The sequence below is a fragment of the Homo sapiens genome, chromosome 19, assembly GCF_000001405.40.
Source record: "Homo sapiens chromosome 19, GRCh38.p14 Primary Assembly".
In the NCBI taxonomy this organism is placed as follows: domain Eukaryota; kingdom Metazoa; phylum Chordata; class Mammalia; order Primates; family Hominidae; genus Homo; species Homo sapiens.
This window is the reverse complement of record NC_000019.10, coordinates 35825372-35842035: the sequence shown is the minus strand read 5'-3', so window position 1 is coordinate 35842035 and position 16664 is coordinate 35825372. Positions and strand designations below refer to the sequence as shown.

Genomic DNA, 16664 nt, shown 5'->3' with positions numbered 1-16664 from the left:
AGACGAATGGGTGGAGGAATGAGTGAGTGAATGGTTGAGTGGATGAAAAGATAAATGGATGAATGGATAGATAGGCAGACGGTTACATTAATGGATGGATGCATAGATGATTCCAAGCATAAGTGGTTGGGTGAATGGAAGGGTGAGTGGTGCCCTACCTTCTCTCTAGGTACACGGAGCACACATACCACCAGGGTGGTGTCCACAGCAGCCTCCTGACCATTGCCAACGTGTCTGCCGCCCAGGATTACGCCCTCTTCACATGTACAGCCACCAACGCCCTTGGCTCGGACCAAACCAACATTCAACTTGTCAGCATCAGTATGGAGGGGCTGTGAGGGTGTTGGGGAGGGGGTGCTCCCTGGATCCATTCCCACATCCCTGATTGGCCCTGGGCTGCCCATGTTTCTGAAACCGGAAGTTCTGTGTATGTGTGAGGATGGAGTTTTTGCCTGCCCTGAAAATCCTAATGGAGACTGGATCTTCAGGAAGACCCACAACAAAGGCAAAAGAAAAAGAAAAGAACAGAAAAAAGATGGAGAGGGGGTACTTGTTAGCTCAAGTAACTGAAAAATAGATTTTCAGGGGTTTCTGGATCTAGGTTCAGCTGCCATCAGCAACTCTCCATTCTTTTTGTTGTTGTTGTTGTTGTTGTTGTTGTTGAAATGGAGATTCACTCTTGTCACCCAGGCTGGAGTGCGATGGCGCGATCTTGGCTCACTGCAACCTCTGCCTCCTGGATTCAAGCAATTCTCTCATCTCAGCCTCCCGAGTAGCTGAGATTACAGGCGCCCGCCACCACACCCAGCTAATTTTTGTATTTCTAGTAGAGACGGGGTTTCACCATGTTGGCCAGGCTGGTCTCCTGACCTCAGGTGATCTGCCCGCCTCAGCCTCCCAAAGTGGTGGGATTACAGGTGTGATGACCAGCCCTCTTCATTCTTACGTCTGCATGTCTCTGTGTTGGCTTTATTCTAAGGGCCCTCACAGTGGTCTGTTAGAATTCCCAGAGGAAACAGAATTCTTTCTCTTCCTAACAGTAGTATGAAAATACCAGGATTAGTCAGGCGTGGTGGCTCATGCCTGTAATCCCAGCACTTTGGGAGGCTGAGGCGGGCAGATCACAAGGTCAGCCTGACCAATATGGTGAAACCCCATCTCTACTTAAAAAAAAAAAAAAAAAGCCGGGCGTGATGGCATGCGCTTGTAATCCCAGTTACTCGGGAGGCTGAGGCAGAAGAATTGTTTGAACCCAGGAGGTGGAGGTTGCAGTGAGCTGAGTTCGCGCCACCGCACTCCAGCCTGGGCGACAGAGCAAGACTCTGTCTCAAAAAAAAAAAAAAAAATCATGTATTGATTGCTTGACGCAAATGCTATGATGAGACGTTTAAAGAAACCTAACTGCCGGGTGCAGTGGCTCACACCTGTAATCCCAGCACTTTGGGAGGCCGAGGCGGGTGGATCACGAGGTCAGGAGATCGAGACCATCCTGGCTAACATAGTGAAAACCCGTCTGTACTAAAAATACAGAAAATTAGCCGGGCATGGTGGCGGGCACCTGTAGTCCCAGCTACTCGGGAGGCTGAGGCAGGAGAATGGCGTGAACCCAGGAGGCAGAGCTTGCAATGAGTCAAGATCGCACCACTGCACTCCAGCCTGGGTGACACAGCGAGACTCCATCTCAAAAAAGAAAAAAAGGAAAAGAAAAAAAAAAGAAAAGAAACCTAACCATGCCAGGCGCGGTGGCTCATGCCTGTAATCCCAGCATTTTGGGAGGCCAAGGCGGGTGGATCACCTGAGGTCAGGAGTTCGAGACAAGCCTGGCCAACATAGTGAAACCCCATCTCTACTAAAAATATGAAAAATTAGCTGGGCATGGTGGCGGGCACCTGTAATCCAGCTACTCGGGAGGCTGAGGCAGGAGAATTGCTTGAACCCAGGAGGTGGAGGTTGCAGTGAGCCAAGATTGCACCACTACACTCCAGCCTGGGCAATAAGAGTGAAACTCCATCTAAAAAAAAAGAAAAAAAAAAAAAGAAAGAAACTTAACCCTTCATTTTCCATAGAAGTAACCATTTGGTCTTGAATTTTTTTGCTGTTTCTTTTGGTTTTGTTTTCACTTACTTCTTTTTAAAATTATTTTTTATTTTAATGTTTAATTTGAGACAGGGTCTTGCTATGTTGCCCAGGCTGGTCTCGAACTCCTGGGCTCAAGCATCTTTCAGACTTGGTCTCACAAAGTACTGGGATTACAGGGACAGTTTGGTGTTTGCCAGAGCAGTGTTCACCATGACCTTACAGAACATGAGTATGCTATGAACAATGAGAAGCGATTGTATATTTAAAATCATTCCTAGGGAAAACCTGGACAGAATCTTCTGGAATTCTTTTGTATCCTCTGACTGCTTTCCCATCTTTCTCCCCATAGGCCGCCCTGACCCTCCATCAGGATTAAAGGTTGTGAGTCTGACCCCACACTCCGTGGGGCTGGAGTGGAAGCCTGGCTTTGATGGGGGCCTGCCACAGAGGTTCTGCATCAGGTGGGTCCTTGTCGAGGCAGGAGGGAAGGGAATGGGCTAGGGCACTTCCCTGAATTTACTATCCCCCTGTCCTGCAGGTATGAGGCCCTGGGGACTCCAGGGTTCCACTATGTGGATGTCGTACCACCCCAGGCCACCACCTTCACGCTGACTGGTCTACAGCCTTCTACAAGATACAGGGTCTGGCTGCTGGCCAGTAATGCCTTGGGGGACAGTGGACTGGCTGACAAAGGGACCCAGCTTCCCATCACTACCCCAGGTGGGAAGGGAGGCTTGGGCAGGTTGGAGTATTCCTCAGAGGATGTGTAGGGTAGTATGGTGAAGTCAATACTATTCCCCTTTTATGATGAGTTACTGAGGCCTATAGCTGTTAAGCAAATTGTCCAAGGTCACACAACTAGTAAAAGATAAAGATGAGATTGAAACTCAGGCAGATGAACTTGAGACCAACCGTTAACCACAACCCATACTATCTGAATGTGATTAATGACCAAGGGAAATTAGAAAATAGTTTGAATTAAATGAAAATGAAAACATATAAAAATTTGAGGTTGCAGTTAAAGCAGTACTTAGAGGGAAATTTATAGCATTAAGTGCTTATTTTAGTTTTTTATTTTATTTAATTATTTAATTTTTTTTTATTTTTTTGAGATGGAGTTTCACTCTTGTTGCCCAGGCTGGAGTGCAATGGTGTGATCTTGGCTCACTGCAACCTTCATCTCCTGGGTTCAAGCAATTCTCTTGACTCAGTCTTCTGAGTAACTGGGATTACAGGCATGTGCCACCACCCCCAGCTAATTTTGTATTCTTAATAGAGACGGGGTTTCACCATGTTGGTCAGGCTGGTCTCGAACACCTGACCTTGTGATCCACTCACCTTGGCCTCCCAAAGTGCTAGAATCATAGGCCTGAGCCACCATGCGCGGCCTTATTTTTTATTTTTGAGATGGAGTCTCACTCTGCCACCCAGGCTGGAGTGCAGTGGCATGATCTTGGCTCACTACAACCTCCGCCTCCCGGGTTCAAGCGATTCTCCTGCCTCAGCCTCCTAAGTAGCTGGGATTACAGGCAAGTGCCACCATGCCCAGCTAATTTTAGTATTTTTAGTAGAGACGGGGTTTCGCCATGTTGGCCAGGCTGGTCTTGAACTCCTGACCTCAGGTGATCCACCTGCCTTGGCCTCCCAAAATGCTGAGATTACAGGTGTGAGCCACCACGCTTGGCCACTTTTTGTTTGTTTGTTTTTGTTCTGAGACGCAGTTTTGTTCTTGTTGCCCAGGGTGGAGTGCAATGGTGCCGTCTCGGCTCACTGCAACCCCCGCCTCCTGGGTTTGAGCAATTTTCCTGCCTCAGCCTCCCAAGTAGCTGGGATTACAGGCATGCACCTGTAATTTTTTGTATTTTTTAGTAGAGACAGGGTTTCACCATGTTGTCCAGGCTGATCTCGAACTCCTGACCTCAGGTGATCCACCAGCTTCGGTCTCCCAAAGTGTTGGGATTACAGGTGTGAGCCACCACGACTGGACTAGTTTTCGTTTTTTTTTTTTTTTTTTTTTTAAGAGAATAACCTCAAATGCATATTCTAAGTTTTCATCTTAAGAAACTGTGGCTCATGCCTGTAATCCCAGCACTTTGAGAGGCCAAGGCGGGTGTATTACTTGAGGTCGGGAGTTTGAGACCAGCCTGACCAACATGGAAAAACCCTGTCTCTACTGAAAATACAAAATTAGCCGGGTGTGGTGGCACATGCCTGTAATCCCAGTTACTTGGGAGGCTGAGGCAAGAGAATCACTTGAACCTGGGAGGCAGAGGTTGCAGTGAGCAGAGATGGTGCCATTGTACTCCAGCCTGGGCAACAAGAGCAAAACTCCATCTAAAGAAAGAAAGAGAGAGAGAGAGAGAGAGAGAAAGAAAGAAGCTAATAAAAGACGAACAAATTAAACCCAAAGTAAACAGAAAGAAGAAAATAATAATGGTAAGAGCAGAAATGAATGAATTAGAAAACAGAAAAACAATTGAGAAAATCAATGAAACCAGAAGCTGGTTATTTGAAAAAAATCAATAACATTTATAAATCTGATTAAGACAAATAAAAGGGAGAAAATACAAGTTACCAATAACAGGAATGGAAGAAGGGATGTTACCACAGACTCCACAGACATTAAGAGGATAATTAGGGAATATTATGGATAACTTTATTCCAATAAATTCAGCAAGTTGGATGAGAAGGACAAATTCCTTGAATATGATGAATATGTTACAATTCTGATAGGCACAGTATTGTAGTGGTAAATCCTTCAGAGCCTGGTCCAGAGAAGCTTGGGTTCAAATCCCCTCTCTGCTACCTCTTAGTTGTGTGACCATAGGCAAGTGTCTCAGTTTCTAAAAATATATAGCACAGATCTTTGTGGCTCAGTTTATTTTTCTTTCTTTCTTTCTTTCTTTCTTTCTTTCTTTCTTTCTTTCTTTTCTTTTCTTTTCTTTCTTTTTTTTTTTTTTTGCAATGGAATCTTGCTCTGTCACTCAGGCTGGAGTACAGTGGCATGATCTCGGCTCACTGCAACCTCTGCCTCCCAGGTTCAAGCAATTCTCCTGCCTTAGCCTTCCAAGTAGCTGGGATTACAGGTGCATACCACCACGCCTGGCTAATTTTTGTATTTTTTAGTAGAGACAGGGTTTCACCATGTTGGCCAGGCTGGTCTCAAAGTCCTAACCTCAGGTGATCCACCTGCCTCAGTCTCTCAAAGTGCTGGGATTACAGACGTGTGCCACCACTCCTGGCCGCAAGCTTCTCCTTTCTGTTTTCCTCTTCCTGACAGAGCAGGCTTTTTCTCAATGGAAGTAAGGACACTTTTTCACCCCTACAATCTTCTCTGCTCTTCCCCCCACCCCACTCCAGTCTTCCCTTTGAACACTAAAACATAAAGTATGACACTTGCCTCCTTTGCTTTAGAACTTGTACCTTTATTAAGGGATCGAGAGCCCAAAGTCTTTTTTGGTTAACTCAACAAATTGATAATTCGGGTGAAAAGGACCTTGCACACCGAAAGTGCTCATCAACAGTTAATTTTTGGGCCAGGCATGGTGATGCATGCCTGTAGTCCCAGCTAATCAGGAGTCTGAGGCGGGAGGATAGCTTGAACCCAGGAGGTCGAGGCTGCAGTGAGCTATGATCATACCACTGCACTCCAGCCTGAGCGACAGAGTGAGACCCTGTCTCTTTAAAAAAAAAAAAATGGCCAGGCGCAGTGGCTCACGCCTGTAATCCCAGCACTCTGGAAGGCCGAGGTGGGCGAATCACGAGGTCAGGAGTTCGAGACTAGCCTGGCCAACATGGTGAAACCCCATCTCTACTAAAAATACAAAAAATTAGCCAGGCATAGTGGCAGGTGCCTGTAGTCCCAGCTACTTGGGAGGCTGAGGCAGGAGAATTGCTTGAACCCGGGAGGCAGAGGTTTCAGTGAGCTGAGATTGCGCCACTGCACTCCAGCCTGGGCAATAGAGAGAGGTTCAGTCTCAAAAAACAAATTATTCTTAGCATTAGCGTTACCATTAGAATTGCTATTAATAGTATTGTCATTATTATCAGCAATTTCTAGCTCTCTTTGAAATATTCTTAAGCAGTCATATACCAGTTCCCATGAATCTAATAGGCTTAAGAAGAGGCTGAGAAATATTTAAAGCTTATCTCAGATTCTTAGTGTTAAGTCACAATCTGTATATCCACCCCCCAGGTCTCCACCAGCCTTCTGGAGAACCTGAAGACCAGCTGCCCACAGAGCCACCTTCAGGCAAGTCCTCAGTCCCCTGATCCCTCCCGGCTCCCCTGAGAATGGAACCTCCTGGTCTCTGACCCTACCTCCTCTGCTTGTAGTCACAGCTGCTTAACGACTTAGTTCTGGCCAAGCTCAGTCGCTCACGCCTGTAATCCCAACACTTTGGGAGGCCAAGGCATGTGATCACTTGAGCCCAGGAGTTTGAGACCAGCTTGGGCAACATAGCAAGACTCCATCTTTGCAAAAATAAAAAATAGCTGGGTGTAGTGGCATGTGCCTGTAGTCCCAACTACTCAGAAGGCTGAGGTGGGAGGATTGCATAAGCCCAGGAGTTGGAGGATGCAGTGAGCTATGACTGAGCCACTGCACTCCAGCCTTGGCAACAGAGGGAGACCCTATCTCAAAAAAAAAAAAAAAAAAAAAAAAGACTTAGTTCTGTCCCTGCAGAATTGCAGACTTGCAGACTCCTTAGAGCTTCCTCTTTTTTCTTTCTTTCTTTCTTTTTTTTTTTTTTTTTTTTGAGACAGAGTCTCATTCTGTTGCCCAGGCTGGAGTGAAGTGGCAAAATCTTGGCTCACTGCAACCTCCACCTCCCAGGTTCAAGCGATTCTTTTGCCTTAGCCTCCCGAGTTGCTGGGATTACAGGCACCTGCCACCACACCTGGCTAATTGTTGTACTTTTTTAGTAGGGACGGGGTTTCACCATGTTGGCCAGGCTGGTCTCGAACTCCCGACCTCAAGTGATCTGCCTGCCTCAGCTTCCCAAAGTGCTGGGATAACAGGCATGAGCTACGGCACTCGGCATTTTTTTTTTTTATTTTTTTATTTTTTGAGATGGATTCTTGCTCTGTTTGTTGCCCAGGCTGGAGTGCAGTGGTGCGATCTCGGCTGACTGCTATCTCCACCTCCCGGCTTCCTCTCCTGCCTCAGCCTCCCGAGTAGCTGGGACTACAGGCACGTGCCAACACGCCCAGCTAATTTTTTGTATTTTTAGTAGAGATGAGGTTTCACCGCGTTAGCCAGGATGGTCTTTAACTCCTGACCTCATGATTCACCCACCTCAGCCTCCCAAAGTGCTGGGATTACAGGCGTGAGCCACTGCATCTGGCCAATTTTTTTTTTCTTAGATCTTCCTCTTGCCTGGAGTGATAAATTTTCTTCTCTTCCAAATTTAGTTTAATTCCGTAAGAATTAGCTCACTCCATGTCCTGTAAGAAGCCTGCATCAGTTAGCTTTTGCTGTATAATGAACCACCCCAAACATGGGTGCTTATAGCAACATTCTTCCTCATGATTCTGAGTCTGGCGGAACAGTGCTGGTCTGGGCTGGCTTAAATCATCTCTGCAGTCAGCTGGCAGCTCCACTGGACTGGGTGGTCTAGGGTTGCCCCCTTCCCACACTTCTGATAGTCATCTGGCTCTTGGTTGGAACAATGGAGATAACTGGGCGCGTGTCTCTTCTTGACTTTTTCACATGGAGGTGGTCACGGGGGTCAAAAGCAGCAATTTACTAGCTGATTCCGTCATAGTTGTGTCTCATTGGCCAAAGCAAGTCACATGGCTCAACACAGAGTCAGTGTGGAAAGGCCCCGCACTCAAGGATGTGACTACTGGGAGATGATTGCAACCATTTGGCAAAAAAATCCCCTTCAGAGCCCGAGAAAAAGGTTGCAAGTGACAGAAATGCAGCTGTTTTGTCAACACGAAAAAGAATGGCTTGGCTGGGCACAGTGGCTCATGCCTATAATCCCGGAACTTTGGGAGGCTGAGGCAGGTAGATCACTTGAGCCCAGACGTTGGAGACAAACCTGGGCAACATGGTGAAACCCCATCTCTATAAAACAAAAACAAAAAAAATTAGCCAGGCATGGCAGTGCATGCCTGCAGTCCCAGCTACTCAGGAGGCTGATGCGGGAGGATTGATTGAGCCCAGGAGGTTGAGCCTTCAATGAGCCGAGCTCACGCCACTGCACTGCAGCCTGGGCAACAGAGTTGAGACCCTGTCTCAAGAAAAAAAAGAAAAAGTCTTGGTATATGAAATAAAAAATTCCAAGTGTGGCCACTTTCAGGTGCTCAAAAATCTCACCAGCGATCTGTTTCTCACCCTCTCTCAACTTTGCCTTCATCTGTGGTGGCTTCTTTCTGAGTTTCTTCAATCAGAGGGGCAGAGAAGCCCTCCTCCACCTCCATCTTCTTGACAGCTAGTAGAATTGTCCTAAATGTTTTGTTAAAAACACACGTTGGGTCAAATGCCTGTGTCTAAACAATCACTGTGGAGAGAGGAATGGAGACTCTTATTTTCCAGGCCGGGCCATGTGCCCACTGTGGAGTCCTGCCTGAACCCAAGACTGAGATTGGGGAGTGGCTGTTCTCCCCAGGGGAAAAAAGTGCTATTAGTAGAAGACAGGGGAGATTGCCCGCCCAACAGATGCCTACTTAGAGGGGTTCAGCCTTGTCCTCAGGGATATAGCAGCCAAGTCAGCCTGATATTGGCTGGGATGGAAGTTGGTGGAAAGAAGTCATTTGAGGCTGGGCACGGTGGCTCGCGCCTATAATGCCAGCACTTTGGGACGCCAAGGTGGGCAGACCACTTGAAGCCAGGAGTTCAAGAACAGCCTGTCCAACATGGCGAAACTCCGTCTCTATTAAAAATACAAAAAAAAAAAAAATTAGCCGGGTGTGGTGGCATGCGCCTGTAATCCCAGCTACTTGGGAGGCTGAGGGAGAAGAATCGCTTGAACCCTGCAGGTGGAGGTTGCAGTGAGCCAAGATCATGCCACTGCACTCCAGCCTGGGTGAAAGAGTGAGACTCTTTTTTTTTTTTTTTTTTTTTTGAGACAGGGTCTCATTCTGTCACCCAGGCTGGAGTGCAGTAGCGTGATCTCGGCTCACTGCAACCTCTGCCTCCCCAGTTCAAGTGATTCCCCTGCCTCAGCCTCCCAAGTAACTGGGACTACAGGTGCCTGCCACCACACCCAGCTAATTTTTTGTATTTTAGTAGAGACAGGGTTTTACCATATCGGCCAGGCTGGTTTTGAACTCCTGACCTTGTGATCCAACCCCTCAGCCTCCCAGAGTGCTGGGATTATAGGCGTGAGCCACCGTGCCCAGCCAACTCCGTCTTAATTAAAAAACAAAATAAAATAAAGAAGTCCTTGAGATGGGATTTTTTTTTCAGAGGCAGGGTCTTGCTCTGCTGCCCAGGCTGGAGTGCAGTGGTGCTATCATAGCTCACTGGAGCCTTGACTTACCAGGTTCAAGCAATCCTCTTGCTTCAGTGTCCCGAGTAGCTGGGACTATAGACATGCACCACCATGCTGCTAAATTTTTAATTTTTTTTGTAAAGAATCAGCCTCACTATGTTGCCTAGGCTGGTCTTGAGCTCCTAGGCTCAAGCGATTCTCCCACCTTGACCTCCCAACATGCTGGGATTACAGGCATGTGCTGCAGCGCCTGACCTTGAGATAGAATTTGAAAGGCAAACAGAAGTTTGCTTGAGAAGAAAGGACATTTGAGGACAGACACTTAACTATTCCAAAGCTCTGAGGTGTGAATTTGCTTCAGTGATTCTGGAAACAGCTGGTGGTTGATTTGTGTGGCTGGACAGTCCAGTACCAGGGTCTAAGTTTGGTGGGCATGGCTGGAGGCGTGGGAAGAGGCTGGACCACAGAAAGTCTTCAGTGCCCAGCTAACGAGCTGAAGCTCCCTCCTGAGTCCAGAGTTCCGTTCTGAGTTTGCAGAGTTCAAGCAAACGGAGGAAGTTTTGCTAATGGCTTGACTTAAGAAAGAAGCCACCTGCCCTTGGGTGGGCAGAAAGGGTGGGCACAGAGACCTCTGCCCATCTGTTTCTCTGACCCTGGGGGAGGGACTTGGTCAGGGCTACACTTTCTCGGGGAGACCCACCCCTGGCCTACAGCCTGTTGTCTGGGATTCACTGAGGGGTATCTTCCACCCCTAGGACCCTCGGGGCTGCCCCTGCTGCCTGTGCTGTTCGCTCTTGGGGGGCTTCTGCTCCTCTCCAATGCCTCCTGTGTCGGGGGGGTCCTCTGGCAGCGGAGACTCAGGCGTCTTGCTGAGGGTGAGGAGAGACCCTTCCCTGCCAGGGTGGAGACCCGAGGGTGATAGGGAACCCTGTGGTTGCTGCATACTGAAGGTCTTCCTGGGGCCGGGGTGGGGGGCTTGCATAGGGTCACTGAGCCCTTTATTCCTGTTTCCTTCAGGCATCTCAGAGAAGACAGAGGCAGGGTAAGTGGGGATATTTTTCTGTAAAGAAGGCTCTGAGGGAGGTTTGGGGGAGACTGGTGGCGGGGGGCAGCACTCAACTTCCCCCCACACCTTCATCCTGGAAGGTCGGAAGAGGACCGAGTCAGGAACGAATATGAGGAGAGCCAGTGGACAGGAGAGCGGGACACTCAGAGCTCCACGGTAAGTGGGGGTGGCCCTGGTGACCCCACAATCAGGGCACCGACGGCGACTGAAGCCCTGCCGTTAGCATCAGGTTGATCATTGCCCTTCCGGGCACAGTGGGGTCAGAGGATGGAAAGGGCTTTGTTTGTTTTGCGTGTGGGGAACAGGTCAGCACAACAGAGGCAGAGCCGTATTACCGCTCCCTGAGGGACTTCAGCCCCCAGCTGCCCCCGACGCAGGAGGAGGTGTCTTATTCCCGAGGTGAGTTAGGACCATGTCAGGATTCCCTCACTCAGAGGTACCCCCGACGCCTGGACTGGGTGCCTTGATCGTGTCTCCCTTCCACTCCAACTCCAGGTTTCACAGGTGAAGATGAGGATATGGCCTTCCCTGGGCACTTGTATGATGAGGTAGAAAGAACGTACCCCCCGTCTGGAGCCTGGGGACCCCTCTACGATGAAGTGCAGATGGTGAGAAGCTTTGCATCAGCAACCATCCTTCCTGGCTAGTGCTGGGAGCCTACCTCCTATTGCTTGTATTAGTTAGGGCCAGCTAGCTGCTGTAACAAAGAGGCCTGACCATGATCCAGTGGCTTAAAGACAGTCGGCTGGGCATGATGGTCCATGCCTGTAATCCCAACACTTTGGGAGGCCAAGGCAGGAGGATCGCTTGAGCCCATAAGTTTGAGACGAGCCTGGGCAATATAGTGACTTGTCTCTACAAAACATTTTTTAAAATGAGCCAGGCATGGAGGTGTGCACCTGTAGTCTCAGCTACTCAGGAGGCTGAGCCAGGAGGATCCCTTGAGCTCAGGAGTTGGAGGCTGCGGTGAGCCATGATGGTGCCACTGCACTCCAGCTTGGGCAACAGAGCAAGACCCTGTCTCTGAAAAAAAGAAGGCAGTCTATTTCTTTTTCAGTCAGACGTGAGTGGCCCTGCTCAAGTCAACCGAGTCTACATGAATGAGCCAGTTCACTGGGGGTTCAACCCATGGGAAAAGGTGAAAGAATGTGGAGGAGGCACAACCCTGCCTTGTGGCCCAGGCCCAGAAATGGTGCACACCACTCTGCTCTCACTCCCCTGGTGGGAAGAGAGTCACATGGTCACATCTGACGGCAAAGGAGGCTGTGAAATGTGGTCTAGCTTAGCAGTGATGTGCCTTGCTGCAATTCTGCTACTGTGGAAGGAAGTAGACATGAATTTTTAAAGATAATTAGCCATATCTACTCCACTGGTTAAAGAGAGAGAAAGAGAGAATTTGGGGGCCCATTCAACTGAAAAATCAAGGCATACAATTGTCATCAGGCCCAGCTGGGCCCAGAATTTCTTCCCTAAAAATGTTTTTATGGCTAGGCATGGTCACGGCTCATATCTCTAATCTCAGCAGGCTGAGGTAGGTGGATTGCTTGAGCCCAGGTATTGGAGACCAGCCTGGGCAACACAATAATACCCCATCTTTAAAAAAAAAAAAGTTAAGCCGAGCATGGTGGCTCACACCAGTAATCCCAGCACTCTGAGAGGCTGAGGTGGGTGGATTACCTGAGGTCAAGAGTTCGAGACCAGCCTGGCCAACATGGTGAAACCCCATTTCTACAAAAAATGCAAAAATTATCTGGATGTGGTGGCACACACTTGTAATCCCGGCTACTTGGGAGGCTGATGCAGGAGAATCGCTTGAACCCAGGAGGCAGAGGTTGCAGTGAGCCGAGATCATGCCACTGCACTCCAGCCTGGGCAACAGAGCAAGACTCTGTCTCAAAAAAAAAAAAAGTTTAAAAAATTAACTGGGCATGGTGGTGCATGCCTGTGGTCTCAGCTACTCAGGAGGCTGAGGTAGGAGGAATGCCTGAGCCAGGGAAGTTGAGGCTGCCATGAGCCCTGATTGTGCCACTGCATTCCAGCCTGAGAGACTGTTTCAAAAAAGAAAGGGAAAAAATATTCCCAGAAAATCTAGATTTGTATCCTACGAGATTAGAAATCTTCAAAGAAAGAGTATACCTGTTTTCCAGTGGCCCCAAATGCCCAATGCTGACACTTAATTGGTCTAGCTTGGGTCACATCCTCATCACTGAACACATCCCTGAGTCAGGGGATGGAATATGCTAACAGGAGAGGCCTGGGCCAGTTCACCATGGGATCAGGGAGTAGGGGCCAGCCCCACTCAGGTCACTGGGCTGAGAGTAGGAGAGGGACAGAGAGCTCACAGGGAAATGAGGATGGTGGCTGTACAGGCAAAAACAACAGACAGGCACTTTGACCACCAGCCAATCCCCACCCATTGCTGCACAGTTAGGGAGATGGGACAGAACCCCTGATTTCCTGTGTGGCCTTGGCTGATGCTCTGGCACCTCCTGGGCCAAGGATTTCCTTCTGTCTCTGTGAACGACCTCCGATACCGGGACTGTTGTCAGATCCTAGCTCCTCACCAGCATGGCGCAAAGCGCTGTCCATGGTGCTGGACCATATGCACTCTCTAAAGCGTAGATGGAGGCTGCACGCTTTTTCCGAACAGGGCCGGATAGTAGTAAATGCTTTGGGCTGTGTGGGACATACGGTCTTCCTCAAACTCTACACAAACTCTGCCACCGTAAAGTAAAAGCAGCCATAGACGATGCATAAATGAATGAGTGTGGCTATGTTCCTACAAAACTTAATTTTTGGACACTGTAATTTGAACTTCATGTAATTTTTCTATGTCACAAATGTTATCTTTTTTCATTTTTTCCCAACAATTAAAAAATGAAAAACCAGGCCGGGCACGGTGGCTCATGCCTATAATCCCAGCATTTTGGGAGGCCAAGGCGGGCGGATCACAAGGTCAGAAGTTTGAGACCAGCCTGACCAACATGGTGAAACCCCGTCTCTACTAAAAATACAAAAAGTTAGCCGGGTGTGGTGGCTGGCGCCTGTAGTCCCACCTACTCGGGAGGCTAGGCAGGAGAATCGCTTAAACCCGGGAGGCGGAGGTTGCAGTGAGCCAAGATTGCGCCACTGCACTCCAGCCTGGGCAACAAACCAAGACTCCGTCTCAAAAAAAAAGAAAAAGAAAAAGAAAAAAATAAAAACCATTCTTAGCTCTTGGGCAGTATAAAAAAGCAGGTGGCAGGCCATATTTGGAGCATGGGCCAATCTGCTCTAAAGTTTGCTGAACTAAAATAATCATTTTCTCCCAGCCCTAGAACAAAATACATCCCCAGTTAGGGCTACCATTCATGTTCTTTTTGTTGTTGTTGTTTGTTTGGTTTTGCTTTGTTTTGTTTTTCTATTATGATTAGGGAACTGTTTTGGAAATTCATAGGACAATATAATCATAACTTACATTCCACAGTTGCCATACCTGATAACATGGACTTTTAAAGTTTTCATTTTTAAAAATTTTATTTATTTATTTATTTTTGAGATGGAGGCTTGCTCTGTAACCCAGGCTGGAGTGCAGTAGCACAATCTCAGCTCACTGCAACCTCCACCTCCCAGGTTCAAGCGATTCTCCTGCCTCAGCCTCCCAAGTAGCTGGGATTACAGGCATGCACCATCATGCCCGGCTAATTTTTGTATTTTTAGTAGAGACAGGGTTTTGCCCATTGCCCAGGCTGGTCTCGAATCCTGATCTCAAGTGATCCACCTGCCTTGGCCTCCCAAAATGCTAGGATTACAGGCATGAGTCACCATGCTTGGCCTAAAGGTTTTATATTTCTGACATTTACATTATTTTTCTAACATGAAATCATTGGGTATCTTGGGCTTGCTTCAAAATAATCCAGTTAGTCGGGGAGGGGAACAAGATAGAAATACAGAGAAATCAATTGACCAAGGGTTGCTACTGGTTTTTTCTTTTTTCTTTTTTTCTTTTTTTGAGATAGTCTCAGTCTGTCACCCAGGCGGGAGTGCAGTGGCATGATCATGGCTTACTGCAGCCTTGACCTCCGGGGCTCAAGCGATCCTCTTACCTCAGCCTCCTGAGTATCTAGGACTATAGGCGCTCACCACCACACCTAGCTAATTTCTTTAAAAATATTTTTTATAGGCTCGGTGCAGTGGCTCATAATCCCAGTGACTTATAATCCCAGCACTTTGGGAGGCTGAGACGGGTGGATCGATTGAACTCAGGAGTTCAAGACCAGCCTGGGCCACAATGGAAACCTCGTCTTTAAAAAAAAAAAAAATTCAAAAGTTAGCTGGGTGTGGTGATGCATGCCTGTAGTCCCAGCTACTTGGGAGGCTGAAGTGGGAGGATGGATTGAGCCCAGAAGGTGGAGGTTGCAGGGAGCTAAGATCGTGCCATTGCACTCCAGCCTGGGTGACAGAGCCAGACCCTGTCTAAGAAAAATAAAATTATTTTTTGTAGATACAGGATCTCACTATGTTGCCCAGGCTGGTCTCGAACTCCTGGTCTCAAGCAATCCTCCTGCTTTGGCATCCCAAAGTGCTGGAATTATAGGCATGAGCTACCGTGCCCAGCCTGATATTGTTGAAGTTAGGTGATAAGCACATGGGGTTCATCATAAGCATTCATTATAATCACACTCCTTTTTTGTATATGTTGGGATTTTAGTAAAAGCTAAAACACTTTTTTCTGGGAAGTTAAGCAGGGGCATGTATCCCCCAGATCTTCAATGAAGACCTACAGGGCATCTCTCCATGGTTCTAACTCCACTTTTTGCCTGTCAGGGACCCTGGGACCTCCACTGGCCTGAAGACACATATCAGGATCCAAGAGGAATCTATGACCAGGTGGCCGGAGACTTGGACACTCTGGAACCCGATTCTCTGCCCTTCGAGCTGAGGGGACATCTGGTGTAAGAGCCCTCTCAACCCCATTGTCCTGCACCTGCAGGAATTTACACTCCACTGGTCTCTCTCATTACAGCCTGGGCCGAGCTGGTTAGGTGAGCTCCATAAAACCCAAAGGGACTTGGTGTCAGGAGAGGACATGGAGGGGGCTGAGTGACAGAGATGGTTCAGCTGGTACCAGAGTAGAAACAAGGTGCATCCTGGGGTTGGCTTTAGAAACTAAACTTCTCCAAAAGGACAGGGCAGATTGTAAACGTCGTCTCAAAAATGAAATGCTGCCGGGTGCGGTGACTCACGCCTATAATCCCAGCACTTTGGGAGGCTGAGGCGGGTGGATCACCTGAGGTCAGGAGTTCGAGACCAGCCTGGCCAACATGGTAAAACTCCATTTCTACTAAAAATATAAAAAATTAGCCAGGAGTAGTGGCGCATGCCTGTAGTCCCAGCTACTTGGGAGGCTGATGCATGAGAATTGCTTGAACCCAGGAGGCGGAGGTTGCAGTGAGCTGAGATCACGCCACTGCACTCCAGCCTGGGCGACAGAGCGAGATTCTGTCTCAAAAAATAAAAATAAAATAAAAATAAAAAATAAAATGCTATTCTGAGGGTCCCTAAGTGCTTCATGAAGTAAAGTTTTCAGAAGTGGGGAAAGACATATGAAAAACTCTGTTCATTTTGCATTCCATGACGTCTGAAATAGCTAATAATAAGTGGAATTTATGAATCCATGTTGCATCCTACCTATTATTTTATTATTTCCGACAGTTATCTAACACAGGAGGCATAAACTATGACACATGTAAACATAAGTATGCTCCATAAGCATTAAAATAAACAGACAATCAAAAGAAGCTAGAGGAAAAGAATATGTACTGTGTGTGTGCTTTCGTTTATAGAAATTCTAAAATAGGCAAAACTAATCTACGGTGGCAGAGAGCACAGCAGAGGTTTCCTGGGGCCATGAGAGGAGGGTTGACTGCAAAAAGGCATGGGAGAACTTTCTGAGGTGTTGGAAATATTCTATATAACGATTGTGGTGGTGGTTGCACGGGTGCACAGATTTGTCAAAACTCATTGAACTTTACACTTAAGATGGGTGCATTTTTATTGTACATAAATGATATCTCAATAAAAGTGATTTTAAAAACAGG

At 47.7% G+C, this 16664-nt stretch overlaps 1 protein-coding gene across 1 annotated transcript in view; it reads left to right on the top strand.

Annotated features, from left to right (window-relative positions):
• NPHS1 (NPHS1 adhesion molecule, nephrin) overlaps nucleotides 1-16664 on the top strand; it is a 27133-nt gene extending 10469 nt beyond the window's left edge. The window contains exons 20-29 of the mRNA NM_004646.4: nucleotides 170-321; nucleotides 2429-2540; nucleotides 2618-2799; nucleotides 6275-6331; nucleotides 10274-10393; nucleotides 10536-10560; nucleotides 10665-10740; nucleotides 10890-10983; nucleotides 11080-11192; nucleotides 15391-16664. Coding sequence (NP_004637.1) covers nucleotides 170-321; nucleotides 2429-2540; nucleotides 2618-2799; nucleotides 6275-6331; nucleotides 10274-10393; nucleotides 10536-10560; nucleotides 10665-10740; nucleotides 10890-10983; nucleotides 11080-11192; nucleotides 15391-15522 — 1063 coding nt within the window. The 3' untranslated portion in view covers nucleotides 15523-16664. The remainder of the gene's footprint in view (nucleotides 1-169; nucleotides 322-2428; nucleotides 2541-2617; nucleotides 2800-6274; nucleotides 6332-10273; nucleotides 10394-10535; nucleotides 10561-10664; nucleotides 10741-10889; nucleotides 10984-11079; nucleotides 11193-15390) is intronic.